General features: G+C 48.5%; 1 pseudogene, besides 6 other annotated features; it reads left to right on the top strand.

Moving 5' to 3' along the window:
• Nucleotides 4,825-5,503: an enhancer, noted in NCBI's record as "H3K27ac hESC enhancer chr8:101904843-101905521 (GRCh37/hg19 assembly coordinates)". NCBI's record gives its function as "activates a minimal SCP1, AML or CMV promoter by ChIP-STARR-seq in naive H9 embryonic stem cells {active_cell/tissue: H9 hESC(naive)}" and the evidence as "EXISTENCE:reporter gene assay evidence [ECO:0000049][PMID:30033119]".
• On the top strand, nt 7,950-8,397 carry RPS26P6 (ribosomal protein S26 pseudogene 6; annotated as a pseudogene).
• Nucleotides 12,024-13,223: an enhancer, noted in NCBI's record as "P300/CBP strongly-dependent group 1 enhancer chr8:101912042-101913241 (GRCh37/hg19 assembly coordinates)". NCBI's record gives its function as "activates an origin of replication core promoter dependent on BRD2, BRD4, P300/CBP, MED14 and CDK7 cofactors, with strong dependence on P300/CBP, by STARR-seq in HCT116 cells {active_cell/tissue: HCT116}" and the evidence as "EXISTENCE:reporter gene assay evidence [ECO:0000049][PMID:35650434]".
• Nucleotides 12,868-12,947: an enhancer, noted in NCBI's record as "active region_27718". NCBI's record gives its function as "activates an Ori minimal core promoter by ATAC-STARR-seq in GM12878 lymphoblastoid cells {active_cell/tissue: GM12878}" and the evidence as "EXISTENCE:reporter gene assay evidence [ECO:0000049][PMID:35858748]".
• Nucleotides 12,978-13,137: an enhancer, noted in NCBI's record as "active region_27719". NCBI's record gives its function as "activates an Ori minimal core promoter by ATAC-STARR-seq in GM12878 lymphoblastoid cells {active_cell/tissue: GM12878}" and the evidence as "EXISTENCE:reporter gene assay evidence [ECO:0000049][PMID:35858748]".
• Nucleotides 13,835-14,094: an enhancer, noted in NCBI's record as "active region_27720". NCBI's record gives its function as "activates an Ori minimal core promoter by ATAC-STARR-seq in GM12878 lymphoblastoid cells {active_cell/tissue: GM12878}" and the evidence as "EXISTENCE:reporter gene assay evidence [ECO:0000049][PMID:35858748]".
• Nucleotides 18,679-18,818: an enhancer, noted in NCBI's record as "active region_27721". NCBI's record gives its function as "activates an Ori minimal core promoter by ATAC-STARR-seq in GM12878 lymphoblastoid cells {active_cell/tissue: GM12878}" and the evidence as "EXISTENCE:reporter gene assay evidence [ECO:0000049][PMID:35858748]".

Below are 21,374 nucleotides of genomic sequence, written 5' to 3' on the forward strand. Positions count from 1 at the left end.
AGAGCAAGACTCTGTCAAAAAAAAAAGAAGAAAAAGAGAAAGAAAGAGAGAGAGAAAGAGAGAGAGAAAGAAAGAAAGAAAGAAAGAAAAAGAAAGAAAGAAAGAAAGAGAAAGAAAGGAAGGAAGGAAGGAAGAAAGAAAGAGGAAAGAAAAGAAAGAAAGAAGAAAGGAAGGAAGGAAGGGAAGACGGAATGAAGGGCAGAGAGAGGAAGGGAGAAGTAGTGGGGGAAGGCATTGCCTAGAGCAGAAACCCCCAGCACTCAGGGCAAGGCTGTAAGTACCCAGTTAATAATGAATGCAGCTAGTCCGCTCCTTGGGGACTACTCTGGAGCCTCTATTCCTGAGACAGTTAAATTATTGATGAAAAATATATAATGTTATGGCCTGAGCTGACAGTTGGAAGACAAGCTGACAGCACTTTAAATTTATTCTGCCCCCAGTAAAGTAGCGGCCACTCTCTGATTTTCAGAGGTGCCTGAGGCCCCAGCAAGTGACGATGCTGAAGAGGTCAGGGTTTTCGAAAGGTCCATGGCTCTCCCTGGCCAGGTCTAGAGGCAGCAGGAGACCTTGGACAGAAGGGTGGGCTTACCTGCTGATGTTCTTTCTTTATGTGTGAATCCCCAGGAATTGTGAATGGTTCCTCAAGTCTCCATGCAAACAAGCCAGCCCTGGGCACTTCCCAAGCAACACCCATTCTCCACTCTCATCTGCTCGGTCTTGCTAACTTCAGGTTGAAGCCTCTAGTAGCCTGCTAGGGCTGCCATAACAAAGTATGGCAATCTGGGTGGCTTAACCAACAGAGATCTCTGATCTCACAGTTCTGGCAGCTGGAAGTCCGAGACCAAGTAGCTGGCAGGGTTGGTTCCTCCTGAGGGCAGTGAGGGAGGACCTGTTCTACGCCTCTCTCCTAGCTGCTGGTGGTTTGATGCAATCTTTGGTGTTCGTTGGCTTGTAGATGCATCTCCGTGATCTCTGCCTCTTTATGTTCTACATGGCATCTCCCTGTGTGTGTGTTTGTGTCTCTGGGTGAAATGTTCCCTTTTTATAAGGACACAGTCATATTGAATTAGGGCCCACTCTAATAACCTCATCTTAACTTGATTATATTGCAAAGACCCTATTTCCAAATAAGGTCACATTCACAGGTACTAGGGGTTAGGACTTCAACATCTTTTGGGGGAACACAATTCAACCTTGTTACTAAACCAGGCTTTCTTTTGTCTGCACTGACTCCTGGCCCCCATCGCTAGAGAAGGCTCTGCATTCTACCTGTTTCTGGGGCCAAACCTCAGGGAAAGGAAAGGCCCAGAGAATGATTAATAGATTTCTGGAGATTTTTTTTTCCTCGCCAGAAAAAGGAGGAAATTATGTGCAACCTGCATTTCATCAAAAGAGAACTGGAAAGCTCTAGTCTCTCTCCCCACTCTGCTAAGCCTTTGCAGAACTGCCCAAGGCACTCTGTTTGCCTTTCAGAATTACTTTATCTGGCCATAAGCCCGGACCTCCCTGCTTAACTACACAACTCCAGGGGCTGGCCCAGGGGAATGGGTGAAGGGAGTGCAGCTTCATTTAGGGAACAGATTCTGGAAGGCTGAGGGCCAGGTATGGTGCTACATAGTGGAGTTGCAAAGATGAGAAGGCAGGGTCCCTACCTGTCAGAAAAAGCTGTAACAGAGGCCCACAGGCACTATGAGGGCCCAAAGGAATGAGTTCTCAAGTCTACATGGCGGCATCAGGAAGCCTTCACAGAAGAGCTAAGACTCAAAGGATATAAGGTGCCTGCCAAGTAGAAAAACAAGGAGAGGGTGTTCCAGGCAAAGGGAGCAGCAGGCACAAAGGCACAGAGGTGTGGCGGGGCCTGGGGATCCTGTCACCCAGAAGCAGTTAAGTGTTGCTGGATCCCAAGCTTAAGGTGGGAGGAGCAGAAAATGAGGTGAGTCGGGCTGAGAGGCTTGGACTGTTACTTGAGGTGCTGCAGGAGTGTACAGGAAAGGGATTCAGTGAGATCTGGGATCCACATGGTGCATCACCCAAGATTCTGCAACCAGGAAGAGGGGGTGTTGGGAATGCAGGCCTAGAAGCAGCATGGCGGGTGGAGGTCAGGGGACTGGGCAGGAGGGAAGACCTGGCACTGGACAAGTTCTTTAACCTCTCCTGGTCTCTGTTAGGATGAGGGCATAATAGAATCTGCACTTCAAGGTGTTGTGATTATGAGAAATCATGCAGATGAGATTCTGGTAAGTGGTGCCTGGCTTAGAGGAGGCCCTCAATACATAGAAGTCATGTGACTTAGTCACACTGAGATTATGCAAATTGAACCAGCTATACTTAGTAACCACCTCATCAAAACAAAGTGCAAGAAATTGCAAAGATATGGAACCAACCTAAGTGTGCCCATCTACCAACAAGTGGATAAAGAAAATGTGATATATATACACCATGGAATACTACTCAGCCATAAAAAGAAACAAAATAATGTACTTTGCAGCAACTCAGATGGAGCTGGAGGCAATTATTCTTTTTCTTTTCTTTTTCTTTCTTTCTTTCTTTTTTTTTTTTTTTGAGACAGAGTCTTGCTCTTGTCATCCAGGCTGGAGGGCAATGGCACAAACTCAGCTCACTGCAACATCCACTTCCCGGGCTCATATGATTCTCCTGCCTCAGCCTCCCAAGTAGCTGGGATTACAGGCACCCACCACCATGCGCAGCTAATTTTTGTATTTTTAGAAGAGATGGGGTTTCGCCATGTTGGCAAGGCTAGTCTCGAACTCCTGACCTCGTGATCCGCCTGCCTTGGCCTCCCAAAGTGCTGAGATTACAGGCATGAGCCAGCACGCCCAGCCTGGAGGCCATTATTCTAAGAAGGTAACTCAGAAATGAAAAACGAAATACTGTTATGTTCTCACTTATAAGTAGGAGTTAAGCTATAAAGACTCAAAGACATACAGAGCGATACAATGGACTTTGGGGACTGATGAAGGGGAAGTTGGGAAGAGGGTGAGTGATAAAAGACTACATTTTGGGTACAATGTACACTGCTCAGGTGACAAGTGCACTAAAATCTCAGAATATACCACTAAAGAACTCATCCATGTAACCAAAACCACGTGCACCCCAAAAACTATTGAAATAAAAATATAAAATATTTTTAAAAGTTCAAAAGAAGAAAAGGGTTTCATTTTACTTATTGTGGTGCATTAAAGATGACTGCAAATTCTTTGACACTCCTCCCAGAGATAGGTGGGCTTTGAGTCACTTTCCCTTGATTTTAGAAGGCTTTGTGACTACTTTGACCAATAGAATACAGTAAAAACGGACCTCTCCAGTGTCCAGGGCTAGGCATTAAGAAACAATCAGCTCCCACTTTCTGTCTCTTGGAACACACTCTGAAAGCCTAGGGCCACCATGGCAGAGGTCCTACTACCCTGAGGCCCCATGTTTGAGAAACCACAGATAGGAGCTCTAGCAGGCAGTCCCCACCTGCACTCAGCCTCGGAGCTGTCCCAGCCAATGCATAAGACATGTGAGTGGAGCCTCCAGACCAGCTCATTACCAGCTGAATACCACCGAGTGACCTCAGTCAATGCCACAAGGGGCAGAAGAGCCATCCATCTGAGCCCTGCCTGAACTCCCACCCCACTGAATCTGAGATATAATCAATGGTTGTATTTTATTTATTTATTTATTTATTATTTTTTTTTTTTATTGATCATTCTTGGGTGTTTCTCGCAGAGGGGGATTTGGCAGGGTCACAGGACAATAGTGGAGGGAAGGTCAGCAGATAAGTGAACAAAGGTCTCTGGTTTTCCTAGGCAGAGGACCCTGCGGCCTTCCGCAGTGTTTGTGTCCCTGGGTACTTGAGATTAGGGAGTGGTGATGACTCTTAACGAGCATGCTGCCTTCAAGCATTTGTTTAACAAAGCACATCTTGCACCACCCTTAATCCATTCAACCCTGAGTGGACACAGCACATGTTTCAGAGAGCACAGGGTTGGGGGTAAGGTCACAGATCAACAGGATCCTAAGGCAGAAGAATTTTTCTTAGTACAGAACAAAATGAAAAGTCTCCCATGTCTACCTCTTTCTACACAGACATGGCAACCATCCAATTTCTCAATCTTTTCCCCAACTTTCCCCCCTTTCTATTCCACAAAACCGCCATTGTCATCATGGCCCGTTCTCAATGAGCTGTTGAGTACACCTCCCAGACGGGGTGGTGGCCGGGCAGAGGGGCTCCTCACTTCCCAGTAGGGGCGGCCGGGCAGAGGCGCCCCTCACCTCCCCGACGGGGCGGCTGGCCGGGCGGGGGGCTGACCCCCCCACCTCCCTCCCGGATGGGGCGGCTGGCCGGGCAGAGGGGCTCCTCTCTTCCCAGTAGGGGCGGCCGGGCAGAGGCACCCCTCATCTCCCGGATGGGGCGGCTGGCCGGGTGGGGGGCTGACCCCCCCACCTCCCTCCTGGACGGGGCGGCTGGCCGGGCAGAGGGGCTCCTCACTTCCCAGTAGGGGCGGCCAGGCAGAGGCGCCCCTCACCTCCCGGACGGGGCGGCTGGCCGGGCGGGAGGCTGACCTCCCCACCTCCCTCCCGGATGGGGTGGCTGGCCGGGCCGGGGGCTGACCCCCCCACCTCCCTCCCGGATGGGGCAGCTGGCCGGGCAGAGGGGCTCCTCTCTTCCCAGTAGGGGCGGCCGGGCAGAGGCGCCCCTCACCTCCCGGATGGGGCGGCTGGCCGGGCGGGGAGCTGACCCCCCCACATCCTTCCCGGACAGGGCGGCTGGCCGGGCAGAGGGGCTCCTCACTTCCCAGTAGGGGCGGCCGGGCAGAGGCGCCCCTCACCTCCCGGACCGGGGCGGCTGGCCGGGCGGGGGGCTGACCCCCACCTCCCTCCCAGACGGGGTGGCTGCCGGGTGGAGACGCTCCTCACTTCCCAGACGGAGCGGCTGCCAGGCGGAGGGGCTCCTCACTTCTCAGACGGTGCGGCTGCCGGGCGGAGGGGCTCCTCACTTCTCAGACGGGGCGGCTGCCAGGCGGAGGGGCTCCTCACTTCTCAGACGGGGCGGTTGCCAGGCAGAGGGTCTCCTCACCTCTCAGACGGGGCGGCCAGGCAGAGACACTCCTCACATCCCAGACGGGGCGGCAGGGCAGAGGCGCTCCCCACATCTCAGACGATGGGCGGCCTGGCAGAGACGCCCCTCACTTCCTAGATGGGACGGCGGCCGGGCAGAGACGCTCCTCACCTTCCAGACTGGGCAGCCAGGCAGAGAGGCTCCTCACATCCCAGACGATGGGCGGCCAGGCAGAGACGCTCCTCACTTCCCAGACGGGGTGGCGGCCGGGCAGAGGCTGCAATCTCGGCACTTTGGGGGGCCAAGGCAGGCAGCTGGGAGGTGGAGGTTGTAGCGAGCCGAGATCATGCCACTGCACTCCAGCCTGGGCACCATTGAGCACTGAGTGAACGCGACTCCGTCTGCCATCCCGGCACCTCGGGAGGCCAAGGCTGGCGGATCACTCGCGGTTAGGAGCTGGAGACCAGCCCGGCCAACACAGCGAAAACCAATGGTTGTATTTTAAACCAATAAATCTAGGGCTAATTTGTTACATAGCAGCAACAATAGATAACTGGAAATATACATATTCTTCTATTCTCACAACAGTCTGGTGATATAGGAATTATTATTATGTCCATTTTACAGATGAGGAAACTAAGGTAAAGACAGTTGAAGTCATTTTCCTAAGTCACACAGCTGGAAAGCAGTGGAGCCAAGCTCCAGCCCTGAGTTCACATCTCCATGCTGAGAAGTCCTTGGTCTTCTTGCCATACCAGGGCATGTCTATTCCTTCCCTACTTTTACCCAGGGTGTAAAAGGGGATAGGAAGGGAGAACAGAGACCGCCAGGCAGAGTGAAGCAAAGTAGAGTGTGCTTGTCCCTACAAGTGCAATGCTCAGTCCCTATTCCATGGCCTGGGCCACATGGAAGGTGGATGGCAGGCCTCCTACATGGGCTGACAATGTTGGTAACAGCCTCCCTAGGGAAACAGGTAGACTCTCTTGCCCCACTTACCAACCTCAGTGCCTGTCAGAGTAGCATCAATACACCATAATTCTTGTGTTGAAGCACTTTAAGTGACAAGGACAAAGCAGATGCCCTTGGAAGGGACCTGGTTTGAGGTGAGATGGTGACCAGTGGTCCCCCAGAGGCCATTAGCGAACCACTGGAAGTGAGCCAGGTCCAGAGCACACAGGATAGGCTGTCTTCTCACAAGCTTTGGTTTATTTTGTCTAATTGTTTCATCTTCACTACAACTCTATTTTAAAGTAAATATCATTATTTCCAATAATGATAATGGAGAAATAGAATCTCGGAAAGGAAAAAAATAATCTGCCAAGTAATCATTTGGCATTGGATCCCAACCCAAGTCTTCTGACTCCATATAGGGGGGAGGTGTCACAAAACAGGGGATTCCAAAAGAGTGTCACTTGGTTTATGGAGTTGTCGAAGGCAGTCCTGAAATAGTCAAGGATGCTGTAGGCTCTGCTGCTTGGTCTCAATTTACCTGTCTTCACTCCTGAAAAGATTCATTCCTTATGTTAAAATATAGTTTAAAAACAAACCTATAAAACAGTCAACTTGTCGTTTTGGAGTCTTAGAGCGGAAAGAATGGGGCATGAACGAGGTCATAGACAATGTCATAGACTGCTGACAGTGGGAGGGGAGTATTGATTATGTTGTCAAATGGAGCACAGAGTCAAGACTCAGTCATTACGGCCTACAGCCAGGCTGGCCTGCAGTGGTACAAATGTCCCTGATGAAGGTCAGGGAAGTGGGGCTTTTTAATTCTAGCTCTGCCCAGCTAGGGGCCACTCACTACCCACTCCGGAACTCAGTTTTCTTGACCCTAGCATGAAGGTTTGGACTTAGATGATTGTAAAGATCATTCTCTGCTTTTGGGACTAGGGAATTATTTTCCCTCTCTCTGCCTGCCAGGAGGTGAACCTTTGCAATTCTCCCAAAGCAAGGGTTTAAATGGATGATCTGATCAGACCGAGCACAGTAGGAAGGCTAAAATCCGGGTTCTGGAATCTGGCAGATCCAATTCCAAATTCCAACTTGGCTGGTTATTAATGGTGTGACCTTGGGCAGCTATTTCACCTCTTCATGGTTTCAGTTACCCTACTTACTGGGAATATACATTGTTAATGTGTGTCATAGACTGAGTGTATCCCCCTCTAAAACTTGTATGTTGAAGCTTTAACATCCAATATGATTGTATTTGGAGGTAGGACCTTTGGGAGGTGATTAGGGCTAGGCAGAGTCATAAGGGTGGGGCCTCCATGGTGGGATTAGTGTCCTTATACAAAGAGGAAGAGAGACTAGAGTTTACTGTCTCTCTGCCATGTGAGAACAGTGAGAAGATGGACATCTGTAAGTCAGGAAGAGGGCCCTCAACAGCCCGTGAGTCTGCCAGCACCTTGAACTTTCCAGCCTCCAGAACTGTGAGAAATAAATGTCTGTCGTTTAAGCCACCCAGTGTACGGTTTTTTTGTTACAGCAGCCTGAGCTGTCTAATACATGCTGTGATGAGAATAAAATGAAAAAACACACACCACAGTTCTTTGCACACAGAGTCTGTTGAACAGTGAGCCCTCAATGCAGTCTCTCTATTGGTTTAATGGTCCCTCCCTTGATTTGCTCTGATGTAATCCTGATTTTTTTCCAATAACTGGAGCATTTCCTGAGAAGTGGCTGGCCTCCGTAGTTGCATTTTGTGGAGGTATTTCTTTAGGGAAGACTGTCCTTGCAATGCATTGCAAGACATTTAGCATCCCTGACCCCTCCCCTTTAATGCCAGTGCTGACTTTCTTCTTACCCCGGTCATTGTGATAACCAAAATGCCCGTTAACAGGGACAGTTCCACCTCTAGCTGAAAGCTGTAAAGATAAGAATGTCCCCTTCTGCTCTCTCCGGTCCGTGCCTCCAAGATGACAAAGAAAAGAAGGAACAATGGTCGTGCCAAAAAGGGCCGCGGCCACGTGCAGCCTATTCGCTGCACTAACTGTGCCCGATGCGTGCCCAAGGACAAGGCCATTAAGAAATTCGTCATTCGAAACATAGTGGAGGCCGCAGCAGTCAGGGACATTTCTGAAGTGAGCGTCTTCGATGCCTATGTGCTTCCCAAGCTGTATGTGAAGCTACATTACTGTGTGAGTTGTGCAATTCACAGCAAAGTAGTCAGGAATCGATCTCGTGAAGCCCGCAAGGACCGAACACCCCCACCCCGATTTAGACCTGCGGGTGCTGCCCCACGTCCCCCACCAAAGCCCATGTGAGGAGCTGAGTTCTTAAAGACTGAAGACAGGCTGTTCTCTGGAGAAAAATAAAATGGAAATTGTACTTAAAAAAAAAAAAAAAAAGAATGTCCCCTCCTTTGTTTCTACATTCCTGCAGGCCTGAGTCTCTTGGACTGACCTTTTGATGCATTGGTTGGATGGGCATTGTGATCTGCTTGGTTTCTAATGGCTGAATGAGCCACCAGAGACCTTGGTGGGCCAGGAGCTGAGGAAAGTCATTCAGTCAGACACTAAAGAAAAGATGGCAAAGACTGGGCCAAGAGTTCCCTCTGCTTTCTTGTTGCTTTCATGGAATTCATTAATTCATTCTTCTTTCATTAACCAAAACATTTGTAGTACCAATAAGCCATGAGGAAAATGCAAGTCAAAACCCCAATGAAATATCACTTCACGCCCACTTAGGAAGGCTGTAATGAAAAATACAAGTAATTACAAGTGTTGGTGAGGATGTGGAGAAATTTAAACCCTCACTCACTAATAGCGGGAATGTCAAAGGATGCAGCTGATTTGGAAAACAATCTAGCAGTAACTCATGGTAACATGGAGTTACCATATGACCCGGTAATTTTACTCCTAAGTATATACCCAAGAGAAATGAAAACATCTATCCACACAGAACCTCAGGCACAAATGTTCATAGCAGCATTATTTATAATAGCCAAAGATTGGAAACAACCCAAATGTCCATCCACGGATGAATGGATAAACTGGTACATCCATAAAATGGAATATTATTTGGCAACAAAAAGGAATGAAGTACTGATACATGCCACAACATGGATGAACCTTGACAACATTATGCTAGGTGAAAGAAGACAGTCAAAAAGATCACATATTGTATGATTCCATTTATGTCAAATATCCAGAATAGGAAAGGACAAAGACTGTAGCATTTCACTAATATGAGGCATCTAAAGTAGTCACATTCGTAGACATAGAAAGTATGTAGAATGCTGGTCACTGGGGGCTGAGAGGCGGAGGAAGGGGAGTTGTTTAATGGGTACAGAGTTTCAATTCTGCAAGATGAAGTTCTGGAGATCTGTTTCACAACAATGTGAACACAATACTGAACTGTACACTTAAAATGGTTAAGATAGTAAATTTTATGACATATGATTCTTATTACAATTTTTTTAAATGTTTAAAAAATAATTCAGAATAGGTAAATCCAAGAGGTAGGACACAGATGGGTTGCTGCCTGGGGTTGGGGGGACAAGCAATGGTCCCAGGGGATAATAGGAAGTGGCTGCTTAATGGGTTTGGGGTTTCCTTTTGGGGTAATGAAATTATTTTGAAATGAGATAGAGGTGGTGGTTGCATAAATTGTGAATGTATTAAATGTCTTGAATTGTTCACTTTAAAATGTTGAATTTTCATGTTGTATGAATTTCACCTCAATTAAAAAATAAAGATAGTGACTTTTGTGGCGCATAAAACAGTATTTATTGTAATTTGATTATAATTTGAAGATTTCTTCCCCCTTATATGGGAGCTTCAAGAAGCAGTTTGCATTTGTCAAAAATGCTGCATGCTGGAGCTGTCGTGGAGGTCTGAGTGCAGAATGATAGGATGAGCCATTCTTTTTGTTAAACCTGGTAGCTTTCTGGGTTTTCCAAAATGCTAAGATGATTTTCAACATATTAATTACTGGATTGTACCCAGAATATTTGTTTAATATATATGTTTCTAGTATTCTAGATCTCCCCCTTTTTTTGAGACAAGGTCTCTCTTTGTTGCCCAGGCTAGAGTGCAGTGGCGTGATCACAGCTCACTGAAGCCTCAACCTCCCGGCTCAAGTGATCTTCCGACCACCTCAGCCTCTTGAGTAGCTGGGACTACAGGCACACATCACCATGCCCAGCTCATTTTTGAATTTTTTGTAGAGACAGTGTCTCATTATGTTGCCAAGGCTAGTCTTGAACTCCTGGGCTCAAGTGAATCTCCTGCCTCAGCCTCCCAAGGTGGTGGGATTACAGGCATGAGCCACTGTGCCCGGCCTATATCTCATACATAGAAAAAAATCCAAATGTGAACGCTTAGAATTTGGGGATTCTACTTAAAATTCTGTAAAGAATTGTTCTCTTATTAGGAGCATACTGATTAAAGGGTAACATTTTGAGGAAAAAAACATCCCACACATTAGTGCTTTAGGGGAAAATGTGGCTAGTATAAGCAGAGAAGGAATGATGTTTGCTTCTAGACCTTGCTTGTTGCTTGTAGCATTCTTGGTGGCGATGACACATGATGGGAAATGCTTTGAGGAAGAAGAGAATGGAATGGCTGAGTCTGAATTGAGCTCAGAGGCCTGACTCAATGGTTCTGTGAGAGGTACAGGCCCGGAAGAACAGCCAGGGAGACACCTGCTGATGCGAAGCTAAGAGCTGGCAGTGCTGCCCTAGTTCCTAGAGAGACCATGTCCTTCAAGACCTTGTCCTGGATTCACTGTTTGGTCCCTGGTGCAATGTGAGGGCTCTCAGAGGTGGGACTAAAAGCCTTCAAGGATTGTCTCACCATTTTGGAGGAACTACTGCAACTCATTCATTAAGGTGGAGGTAAAAACATGGATGTAGATTATGGGCATTTCTTCATAATCTTAATAAAATACCAAATTCAGGGACAAGAGATGATGATGTCACCAGCTGGCTGATGACAGGCAAGTCACTCGTCTTTTCTATTCCCCACTGCACTTACTTGTCGGGTGAAGGACAGCCCCAGAAACACTCCCCAGCAGCTGGTTCAAATCTGTATCATTCTAACAAAATAAAAACGTATAGCAAGGTTGATCAGGTAACCTATACATTTAAAGCCTGGGCCATAAAGGCCACACAAAGGTAAGGAATTTTGAGTGGAGATTTACAACACTAGTGCACTTTATTTTCTCAATTAACACTCATCTGTGGGGCAACTAATACTTTAGCGAGTGCTGTGCTGGGTGCTGGGTGCTGGGAAGACAAGGCAAGACGTACCTGTACCCTTGCCTTGAAGGAGCTGAGAACCCAGAGAGAGAGACAGTCAAGTGAAGCGATGATGGCAGGGACAGTGGGGCAGTGGCAGGGGCTTGTGCAGGCGCAGAGGAGCCCCAGGTAGAGCTGGTGTCTCCTCATGCAGGGGCGTTCAATCTGAGTCTCAGAGGATGATACTCTAGACATGGCTTTTTTTGGCTTCAAGGAATAAACATCTCTTCAAACTAGCAAAGGTGAAAAAGAAGCTTTTACTGAGAGGACTGAGGGATCTCATGGGGCCCGAGATCAGGAAATGAGTTATGGAGCCCAGGGTCACTGAGCCGCAAAGGGACACTGAGAAGTCTAGAATCTTCTCCCTCCACAGTCGGGCCTTCCCCCTCCCCTCCCGCAGCCCCGCACTCTGTGACTGTCTGCTGTTTCAGTCTCTGTACATCAGCCCCTTCCATGCACTCATCAGCTTGTAAATGATCCCGAAACGGTGGCCATAGCCCCCAAGCCTACAATTCAGATAAACTTCTAATGCCCTTCGCTTTGTTTTTGTCTGTTTGATCACTCCCTGGCCACTTGTAGAGTTAATTCAAATTCTAGAGAGAAACAGCGCTCGGATTGATCCAGCTCAGTTCTTCAATCCAGGCCACCCAGTCACTAGTCAGCCAATGCGCATTGCCGTCTTTGGCTCAGGCGACCGTTCCCTGTCAGGCCAGCAGAGTGAGAGAGTCTAACGGGGTCCCTCTTCCAAGGGCGCGGGCCAGGCGAGTTATAGAGGAAGGTTGTTTTGCTTTGTTTTTGTTTTCTAATCTGGTGGAGAAGAGACAAAAGGAGAAATGGGAAGGAAAACAGGGGCCTCTCTGGCAAGCAAGTCGCAGGTGTGAGGCCCAGAAGCCTGAACAGTAATAGCGCATTGGAGGCACCTGAGAGGCTCAGTGACGGCGTCTTCACCCAGAGGCACTATTCAAATAGCAACTCGTGTGGCATGGGCACCGGCCACTCAGAACGGGCAGCGGCAGGGACAGCGGGATGGCAGGAAGTCCTGACCATCCGACCTGCCCTGATGTGTCATGATGTTTCCTTGTGCATGTGCATTTTTCATGAGGCGTGTGGCCATCTCTTATCAGCCTTTGTGACCTCATTTCCTCCTTTTTCAAATGAGCACTTCCAGGAGCCCAGGGGAAGGGTTGGCTTTGGAGGGTTTGGCCAGGGTTGGGGGGCACCTCCAGGCCCCTGCGGAGTGGACAGCGCAGTTGTGCCTTCCAGCTGCTGCTTAGGTCTTAGGGAAACTCATCTGCTCAAGGGGGCTTAGGGAATCTGATTTGCTTTTCCTTTTCTCAGCCTTTCTGAGCATAGGGAGAAGGAGGAAGCAGTTCGAATCCCATTGCGGGCTGCAGAGAGTTCTGGATGAGTAAGCACCAAAAACGTGGGAAGTTTCTGAAAAGGGTTTCTCAGCCAGCAGTGCTTTCACCCCTTGCTGGGCGAGTCGCTGCCGTGCAGTGCAGATGACTCATCTGGGTAACTCCCTTGACAGAAGGAGCCAGCCAAGCTGCAGCAAATGTGCGTTGGGGGGATGGGGAAGAAAGGAATGAACACAGAGCATTCCCTGTCACCAGACGCTATGCTAGACACTATGTGTATCATCTTATTAAATGATCCCAAATACCCTGTGACGATTCCATCCCAGATACTCTGGCCCCACCGCACACCTTGGGATCCACTACATGAACACTTCCTTTCCTGACGTCCCCAGGGCCCACCTATTTCACATGAAGCTCTGGATACTGTCAGAAAAAAACATCCAACACCTGGAGATAAGGCCAAGAAGGTGGCCGGCACATCCTTTCAATATCGTAGGTGGTAACAGGCCACCTTTATGAATCTCGCAGTCTAATACAATAGCCACTAGCCAAGTGTGGTTACAGAGCTCCTGACATACGCCAGTGTGAATTGAGATGTGCTGTAAGTGTATGATCTACACTGGGTTTCAAAGACTTAGTATGACAAAAATTATAATGTACCTTATTAACATTTTTAATGTTGAGTTCATGTTGAAATAGTATTTTTGATATATTGGGTTAAAGAAAACATCATTTAAATTAATTTCAGGTTAGGTGAGGTGGCTCATGCCTGTAATCCTAGCACTTTGGGAGGCCAAGGCAGGAGGATTGCTTGAGCCCAGGAGTTTGAGACCAGCCTTGGCAACATAGAGAGACCCTGTCTCTACAAACAAAAAACAAAACAAATAGCCAGGTGTGGTGGTGGAGATATTTTGCATTCTTTTTTTATAGTAAGTCTTCAAAATCTAGCACATCTCAGTTTGGACCAGCCACATTTCAACTTCTTAAGAGTCACATACAGTGAGTAGCTACCATATTGAGCAGTGCAGGTTTCGATCCTATGCTTAGAAGGATCATGACCAACAAATAAAGGCAGTTCAAGTTCTCTAGTGTTCCAGTGTGAGCTGGAAGGCAGTTGTCTCTACAAAGGGATCTTTTTCTATCCAAGGCAACCACAGGGCTGGGGATGGTAGGTGTGGAGCTGTACCTTAAAGCATATGTTAATGCTCTGGAAATCCATGTCTTTCCTTCAGACATTTCCCTCCTCTCTGTTCATAAGCTACATGACCTTGAGCAAATCACCTCCTCTCTTGGGTTCTCAGCTTCCTCATTTGCAAAATGAGAGGGTTGAACTTGAAGATGAGGCCCCTTCTGTCTTTGATGTGTCATCATTCTCTGAACCACCACTCGGGCAGCATCCTCTGGGGAGCAGCCACCCACTCTTGGGAGCTCTCAGGCACTTCCCAGAGCTGCCACCTGCTCTGAGCTACCTCTAGAGTAAGTGGTGCTCGGAGGCTGGGAAATGAATATTAAGCTGCCTACCCAACCTAAGAGTAGCTGCTCCCTTTGGAGAGGTGGGGAGATAAGACTTTGGATGTGTAGAATTCTAGGCGTACCTTTCTTTTTGGCCTACGCATGTATTTTTAAGGGGCACCTCTTGCTTCCTGGAGCTGCTGTGGTTAATCATTAGCAATAGAAGATAAAGGAAGTTTAGCAGTAGAATTATCTTCTGAGGATCCCCAAGAGACTGTGAAGGAAAGTCAAAGTCTGAGTGTAACAAAGGAAAAAGGGAAGCTACACACTAATTGCTCACTGAAGGAGCTATAACGAAGTCTTAATTTCTGTAGCTAAAAGTCACTGGAGCCTTTGATTAAACAAGGGGTTTGATGGTGAATATTTCTCTTAAATAAATCAACGAGGGGAAACCAAAGTGGATATGCCTTCCCCGACCCAAGATAATGTCTGTCCCCTGGGGACCCAACAACCAAATAACAAAAAGAGGCCTAACTGGACGGTGCCCCAGAAGTGCACCTATGGGCAGAAACTACAGGAACAAATTTCTGTCTGTAAGTGGAGGGAAACTCTGAGGGTGAGAAAGCCCTGCAAATCAATGGGCAGGAAATGCATGTCCCAGAGGTCCAGGCGGAGTCCAAATGACCACCTGGGAAAAATGGTACACGTGGTGGCTTAGAACCCTCCATCTGTGCCTCGTTGTTGAAATTACCTTACGATATTGTTTCTCTATCTCTTTTTAAAATCTGACACTGACACTGCAATCTGTTGTTAAATAATAGTTGTGCTTGAATCCTGATCAAGTGATAAGGTTCTGTGCCTTTTATTCAACTTCTGTGCATTGCCTGGGCCAGAGTAGCTACTCATTAGATGTTGAAAGAATGAATAAGCCAATCAATCAAACAAAAAACTGATGGATAAATGAATGAGTGAATTCATGAATGAATGAACATGTGATTCTTACATCAGATGGGTAGTTGGACTAGGTCATTTTCTTCAACCCTGAGGTTCAACGGTTCAGTGAAGTACGAACAGAGAGGAGTCCATGACTCCCTTCTCTGATGCTGAGGTCTGGCAGGTGACAGTCCTTTCTCCTGACCTTTCCTTCCAGCAGAACAGCCTGGAGTTCATGCAGCAGGGGTCCCTCTTCTCCTGGTGGTGACTTCTAACAGAAAGGGGCTGGGGGAGAAGCAGGGGCAGAGATGCCTTCTGTCACCTTGGAGCTTTTCCATTCAGGATGGTTCCCGTTTGTCACGTTAAGCCACAAGACTGGCCTTATATACAAGGGCCCTAGAGAGCCCTTCAGTGGTATGATTCATGAGATGCTAGGGAGAGCACAAAATATTGCCTTCTCTGCTGCCTGAAATCCCACCATTGTGGGGTGCACTGATAATTCCTTTGCATCTTGAAGGATGGGAATTTTAGGAGTTCTCTAGCATAGTACATGTAAATCTGGGAGAAGAGGCATCTTTAGCCTTCTTAGTGCTTATCAGCTTTGCCCTTAGCTTGGAAGGAACCCAGCAAGGGGTGCTGGAGACCCACTCTGCTGCCCTCCTCCCCAGGCACTGCAGGACCTGGACCCTCCCTCCCTAGAGCTTGGGGATATCAGTCACTCACCTGTAGGAACAGCCAGTGCCTTGCATGTGTTCTGGGCTCTGCTCCCGCCTGCCCCTCCATACCTATCGCCCTCTGCTTCTCCACACAAACCTTGGCTTCATCCAGACAAGCCTTCCTCATTCCACTCCCCAGGCTCTGTCCACCCCAGCTTTACCTGGCCTACCCTCCTTCCAATCCAGGCTCCAGCGCTGCTTGGCAAGCCTTGGATGTCTGATTAGGGGCCAGCCGGTTAACTTGCCTAGTTTCTTCAGTATCAAAACAGGAAGATTTGTATCAACCCTGTCGATCTCACAGGGCAGTTGTAAGAAGTAAGGAATAATCCTGATTATGAAAGTGTTGTTTTTTAATTTTATTTTATCTGTTTATTTCTTTAGAGATGTGGTCTCAATATGTTGCCCTGGATGATTTTAAGTTCCTGGCCTTAAGCAGTCCTCTCACCTCAGCCTCCCAAAGTACTGGGATTACACGCAGGAGCTACCATGCCCAGCCAATGAAAATGTTTGAAAATTTCAAAATGCTACACAAACACAGGGTTATTATAATGCTGATCCTAAAGGACCAGCAAACACAGGCACTCACGTAAACTCGGGTTTTTAATGTCTGTCCTTATTGTGTTTTAGAGGAAATTTGATCATGGGCTTGCAAACTCTTTGTAAAAGTATGGGCTACAGGTGTGATATCACTTTCTCATGCTGCATGTGTTTTAAATGTGAGACAGGAAAATATTCTTTGCTATTACACTTTTTCTCTGTATTATTATTATTTTATTTATTTATTTATTTTGAGACGGAGTCTTGCTCTGTCGCCCAGGCTGGAGTGCAGTGGTGCGATCTTGGCTCACTGCAAGCTCCGCCTCCCGGGTTCACACCATTCTCCTGCCTCAGCCTCCTGAGCAGCTGGGACCACAGGTGCCCGCCACCATACCCAGCTAATTTTTGTATTTTTAGTAGAGACGGGGTTTCACTGTGTTAGCCAGGATGGTCTTGATCTCCTGACCTCGTGATCCACCTGCCTCGGCCTCCCAAAGAGCTGGGATTACAGGTGTGAGCCACCGCACCCGGCCCCTCTCTGTATTATTTTTATAGTGAAGGTCTAATGGTCCTCTGGACATTGGTGGATAAATCGACAGTGAACTTTTTTCTTTCTTCTAGGCTAAGAGTCTTTGTAGTGACAGACACTGGATTCCGAGGAAATAGAGATGACATGAATAAGTAAGTAAGGGTTTTCTCTTTCTCTCCCTCTCTTTTTTTTTTTTTTTTGACACAACTTCTGATCTCAAGCAATCTTCTCACTTTAGCCTCCAAGTAGCTGGGACTACAGGTGCACACCACTGAGCCCAGCTTTCTCTCTCTTTTTATTCACATCTTCAACTTGGACACCTGATGAGCAACAGGCACTCAGGGCAATAGCAAAAGCCATTACCAGCCTGGCTTCTGAAGCTCTGTCTTTGGAATCCCAGCTCCTTACAAATCTCCTTCCTGTTCTAGGAGGATGTCTGATTCCAAAGCCCATTATTAGAATCCTTTTAACAGGCCAGGCACGGTGGCTCACACCTGTAATCCCAATACTTTGGGAGGCCAAGTTGGGAGGATCGCTTGAGCCCAGGAGTTTGAGAAAAGCCTGGGAAACATAGCAAGACTCAGTCTCTACTACTACTACTAATAAATTAGGCTGGGGTAGTGTTGCATGTCTGTAGTCCCACCTACTTGGGAAGCTGAGGTGACAGGATTGCTTGAGGCCAGGAGTTCAAGGCTGCTGTGATCATGCCATTATATTCCACCCTAGAAGACAGAGTAAGAAAGTCTGTCTAAAAAAAAAAAAAAAAAAAAAGAATCCTTTAAACAGATGAGGAAACCAAACTCAGAGGCAAGAAAGTTATCACTTGTGCAAACACACAAGTGATGAGTGGGAGGTGAGACTAAGGCCTGACCCTTTCTCCAATGGCCCATGACGAATGCTTGCCATCACGTAATACATTATTTTCAAAGACTGTTTTAGCCACTTGTAGTCATAATTTACAAACATGGGTCAAAAATGCACAATTTTCTTTCTTTTTTTTTTTTTTGAGATGGAGTCTCGCTCTGTCACCTAGGCAGGAGTGCAGTGGCATGATCTTGGCTCACTGCAAGCTCTGCCTCCTGGGTTCACGCCCGCCATTCGCCATTCTCCCGCCTCAGCCTCCCAAGTAGCTGGGACTACAGGCGCCTGCCACCACGCCCGGCTAATTTTGTTTTTGTATTTTTAGAAGAGACAGGGTTTCACTGTGTTAGCCAGGATGGTCTCAATCTCCTGACCTCGTGATCCGCGCGCCTCGGCCTCCCAAAGAGCTGAGATTACAGGCGTGAGCCACCACGCCCGGCCAAAAATACAACATTTTCAAAAGACTGTTCCTCCCACCTTTCCCCCAAGTATCCAGTTCTTCTGAGAGGCAACAAAATATATCAGTTTCTTGTAAACTTTTTCAGATATTTAATGTATATATAAGCAAATCTATTTGTTTTGCTTTTTGAAGTTTTTTTTCACAATTGATATACTCACTGTCCCGCACCTGGCTTCTTCTTTTTTTTTTTTGAGACGGAGTCTCGCTCTGTCACCCAGACTGGAGTGCAGTGGTGCAATCTCGGCTCACTGCAAGCTCCGCCTCTCGGGTTCACGCCATTCTCCTGCCTCAGCCTCCTGAGTAGCTGGGACTACAGGCGCCCGCCACTACGCCCAGCTAATTTTTTGTATTTTTAGTAGAGACGGGGTTTCACCATGTTAGCCAGGATGGTCTCGATCTCCTGACCTCGTGATCCACCTGCCTCGGCCTCCCAAAGTGCTGGGATTACAGGCGTGAGCCACCGCGCCCGGCCCACCTGGCTTCTTTTACTTAACAATATATTTTGTAGGTTTTTTCATGTGAAAACATAAAAAGCTTCCTCTTTCTTTTTATGGCTGTTTGGTGTTCAGTAGACGATAGATATATAGGTGGTTTCCAGTCATGTGCTATTTAAGCAAAGCTGCATTGAATAACTTTGGTATATGAGTATTTCTACAGGAAATCTTCCTAGAAGCAGATTGCTCAGTTGCTGAGGTATGTGACTTTGAAATTGAAAGGATATTGCCAAATTGTCCTCTGAGTTGGTTGTACCAAGTGACACCCCACAGCAATGCCCAAATGCTTTCTCCTCACCACCACAGTGGCTTTTCAGGCTCTGTGATCCTTGCTAAGGTCTCTCTACTCTCAGACCTGCACACTAGGCCTGACAAGACTCATTTCTCATTTTGTATCCAGTATGACCTTCCAGTTTGTTTAGAACCAGATGTCACTCTTCTGGTGACTAATGCAATATAAACTTCCAGGAAAAACAAAAACACATCCTCCCTACAAGGTACGTCATGATTCTATCCAAATGGCCATTATGTTTTTAGGGTATGATTTAATCCTTATTTAAACAAATCCCTTCTTGCCCAAGACTACATGGCTCTGTGTAGGCAATGGCTCTGCCATGGTGCCTTAGCACTGCTGCATGTTACCCATATGGGCAAAGGCTCGCGTCACAGCTTCTCTGTGTCTTGGCAGAAGACCTCGGGATCCTCCCAGAACGCAGAGGCAGGGAGACCTCTATGAAGCTGCTATGAGGCCATCCCCCACTCACCTCCCTATGTCCCCTGGAAGGCTGTCAGGAGACAGTTTTGTCACAGGATTCTTGGGGTGTCACTTTTTCAGCTGGAAACCTCTGTGGCCAGTGGCGTCTTTGCCTGAGTTTTGTTTGGGCCCCCTGGGCTTGTTCTGCCCACTCAGCCCAGCAGGCTGTGCTTGGCTCACACTACCGGCCCGGATCCCACACCTGCCAGGGGCAAGCCAGGTGCTGAGCAGCAAGGGATGTGTGAGCAAGCACAGGGTCTGGCCACTGTGCACAGCCAGGTGTATGGGCTGCCAGGTGTATGGGCTGTGCTGGAGAGGACAGTTCCAGGTGCTGGCCCAGGCACCTGCTGCATGTGAGGCTGCAGCTGGATCAGGCGTATCATATCGCAAGCGCTTCTACTGCAGGCACTGGGCAACGTGGTGGCACCGAGAAGCTTGGAGACAACAGGAACTGCAGAGCCCCAAAGAGGGTGTCACAGACCTGGCTCGGGGAGCTCCTAGGTCTGGGCTCCCTAAAGGGTAGCAGTTCTCTCCTAGTCACCTGCAACATGGTGAGTGGGGTGGGGGGCGTGTTTCAGCCCTGTTTGTGTTACAGCTCTTTCAGTCCCGCCATTCAGCGGGTCCGAGTTCTTGTCGCAAGTCCAGGAAGAATGAGGTATATGGAAAACTGGAGGGTGAGCAAGGCAGAGAGGAGCTTCATTGAGTGACAGAACAGCTCTCAGGAGACCTGAAGTGGGTAGTTCCTTTCTGCAGGCACGTGGTCCTGAGGAGTGTCCAGCTCTCAGGGGAGAGGAGACCCGGAGTGAGAAGCTCTTATCCGCAGGCAGGTCATCCTGACATCTCTCTGCGAGTCTAGCTGAGTCTGGGACTTCTACGGGTTTTGAAGGGAGGAAGTGTGTGCTGATTGGTCCATGGGTGGCCATCGGCGGGGCTGGAAAAAACACCAAAAGTTCTCACTCCCGCGGTGGACTCCACTGGGAACCGACAGGCCCCAGGCCTCAGGTCGTCCCTGTCTTCAAAGTGGGGCTTCACCGGGACCGCCCCTTTCCACCCGGGAACCTATCTGCCTCCTGCTGCCATTGACAGGTTTGTCCACCGCAATGCCCTGGCTATCCGTGCCATGGGGGACCTGCAGGCCCCTTTCAGCCTTCCTCCCCGTGCTCGTTGGCACCCAAAGTCTGGAGGGGGCAGAGGCGGCAGGGGGCTGGCATGGCAGGGCTGCCCCGAGTGTACGCACACCCGGCCGGGTTGCAAAGCGCCCGGACTTGACCAAAACTTTGCTCAGTCCCGGAGCAGACACTGGGAGTCTGGAGAAGCCACGCATCTGGAGCAGGCACTTCTGAGCCTGCAGAGGAAAGGGGACTTCCCGGGGCCCCCGAGAGCACAGGGATGCCCGGTTTGGGAGCCTTGGCTAGGCAGCTGCAGCTGCGCAGGAGGGTGGGGCTTCCGCCCCGCCGACTCAGAAGCGGGCGGGGCTTCGGCCTCTTCCCGGCTCCCGCCAGCTCCGTGGAGCCTGGAGCCCCAGCCGCGCCTCCCTGGCTGCAGCTGCTGTATTCACAGCAGCCGCTTCAGGCGGGCCGCCACGGCGATCAGTTTTTCATGGCCTCCAGGTTCTGATGAAGCGTGGGATTTTCTGCCCTGTACCCCTCAGAACAAGAAACCACCTTACTGCAGTCTGTAAGTGGCTCCTCAGTAACAGGGCACCCACAACTTTCATGGCATCCGCCCGTTACTTTTGTGTCTTCCCTTCTGTGTGTGGGACCAGGAACCTGTGGAGCTGGCTCTCAGCTTACTGCTCTTTCTGCTATGTAAGCGATCAACTGTCTGACTCTAAAAGTGACTCGTATTTTTCCTTTTGAATCAGACAGACCCTGATCTGGGTTTTGCTTTGTGTTTTATGTGTGAGCTTTATACTCTGAAGTCGCTTTATATTTTATTTTTTCATTTATTAACAAATATTTCTATCATATTTCCTAT

This window comes from Homo sapiens, chromosome 8 (genome assembly GCF_000001405.40).
Source record: "Homo sapiens chromosome 8, GRCh38.p14 Primary Assembly".
NCBI classification, from domain to species: domain Eukaryota; kingdom Metazoa; phylum Chordata; class Mammalia; order Primates; family Hominidae; genus Homo; species Homo sapiens.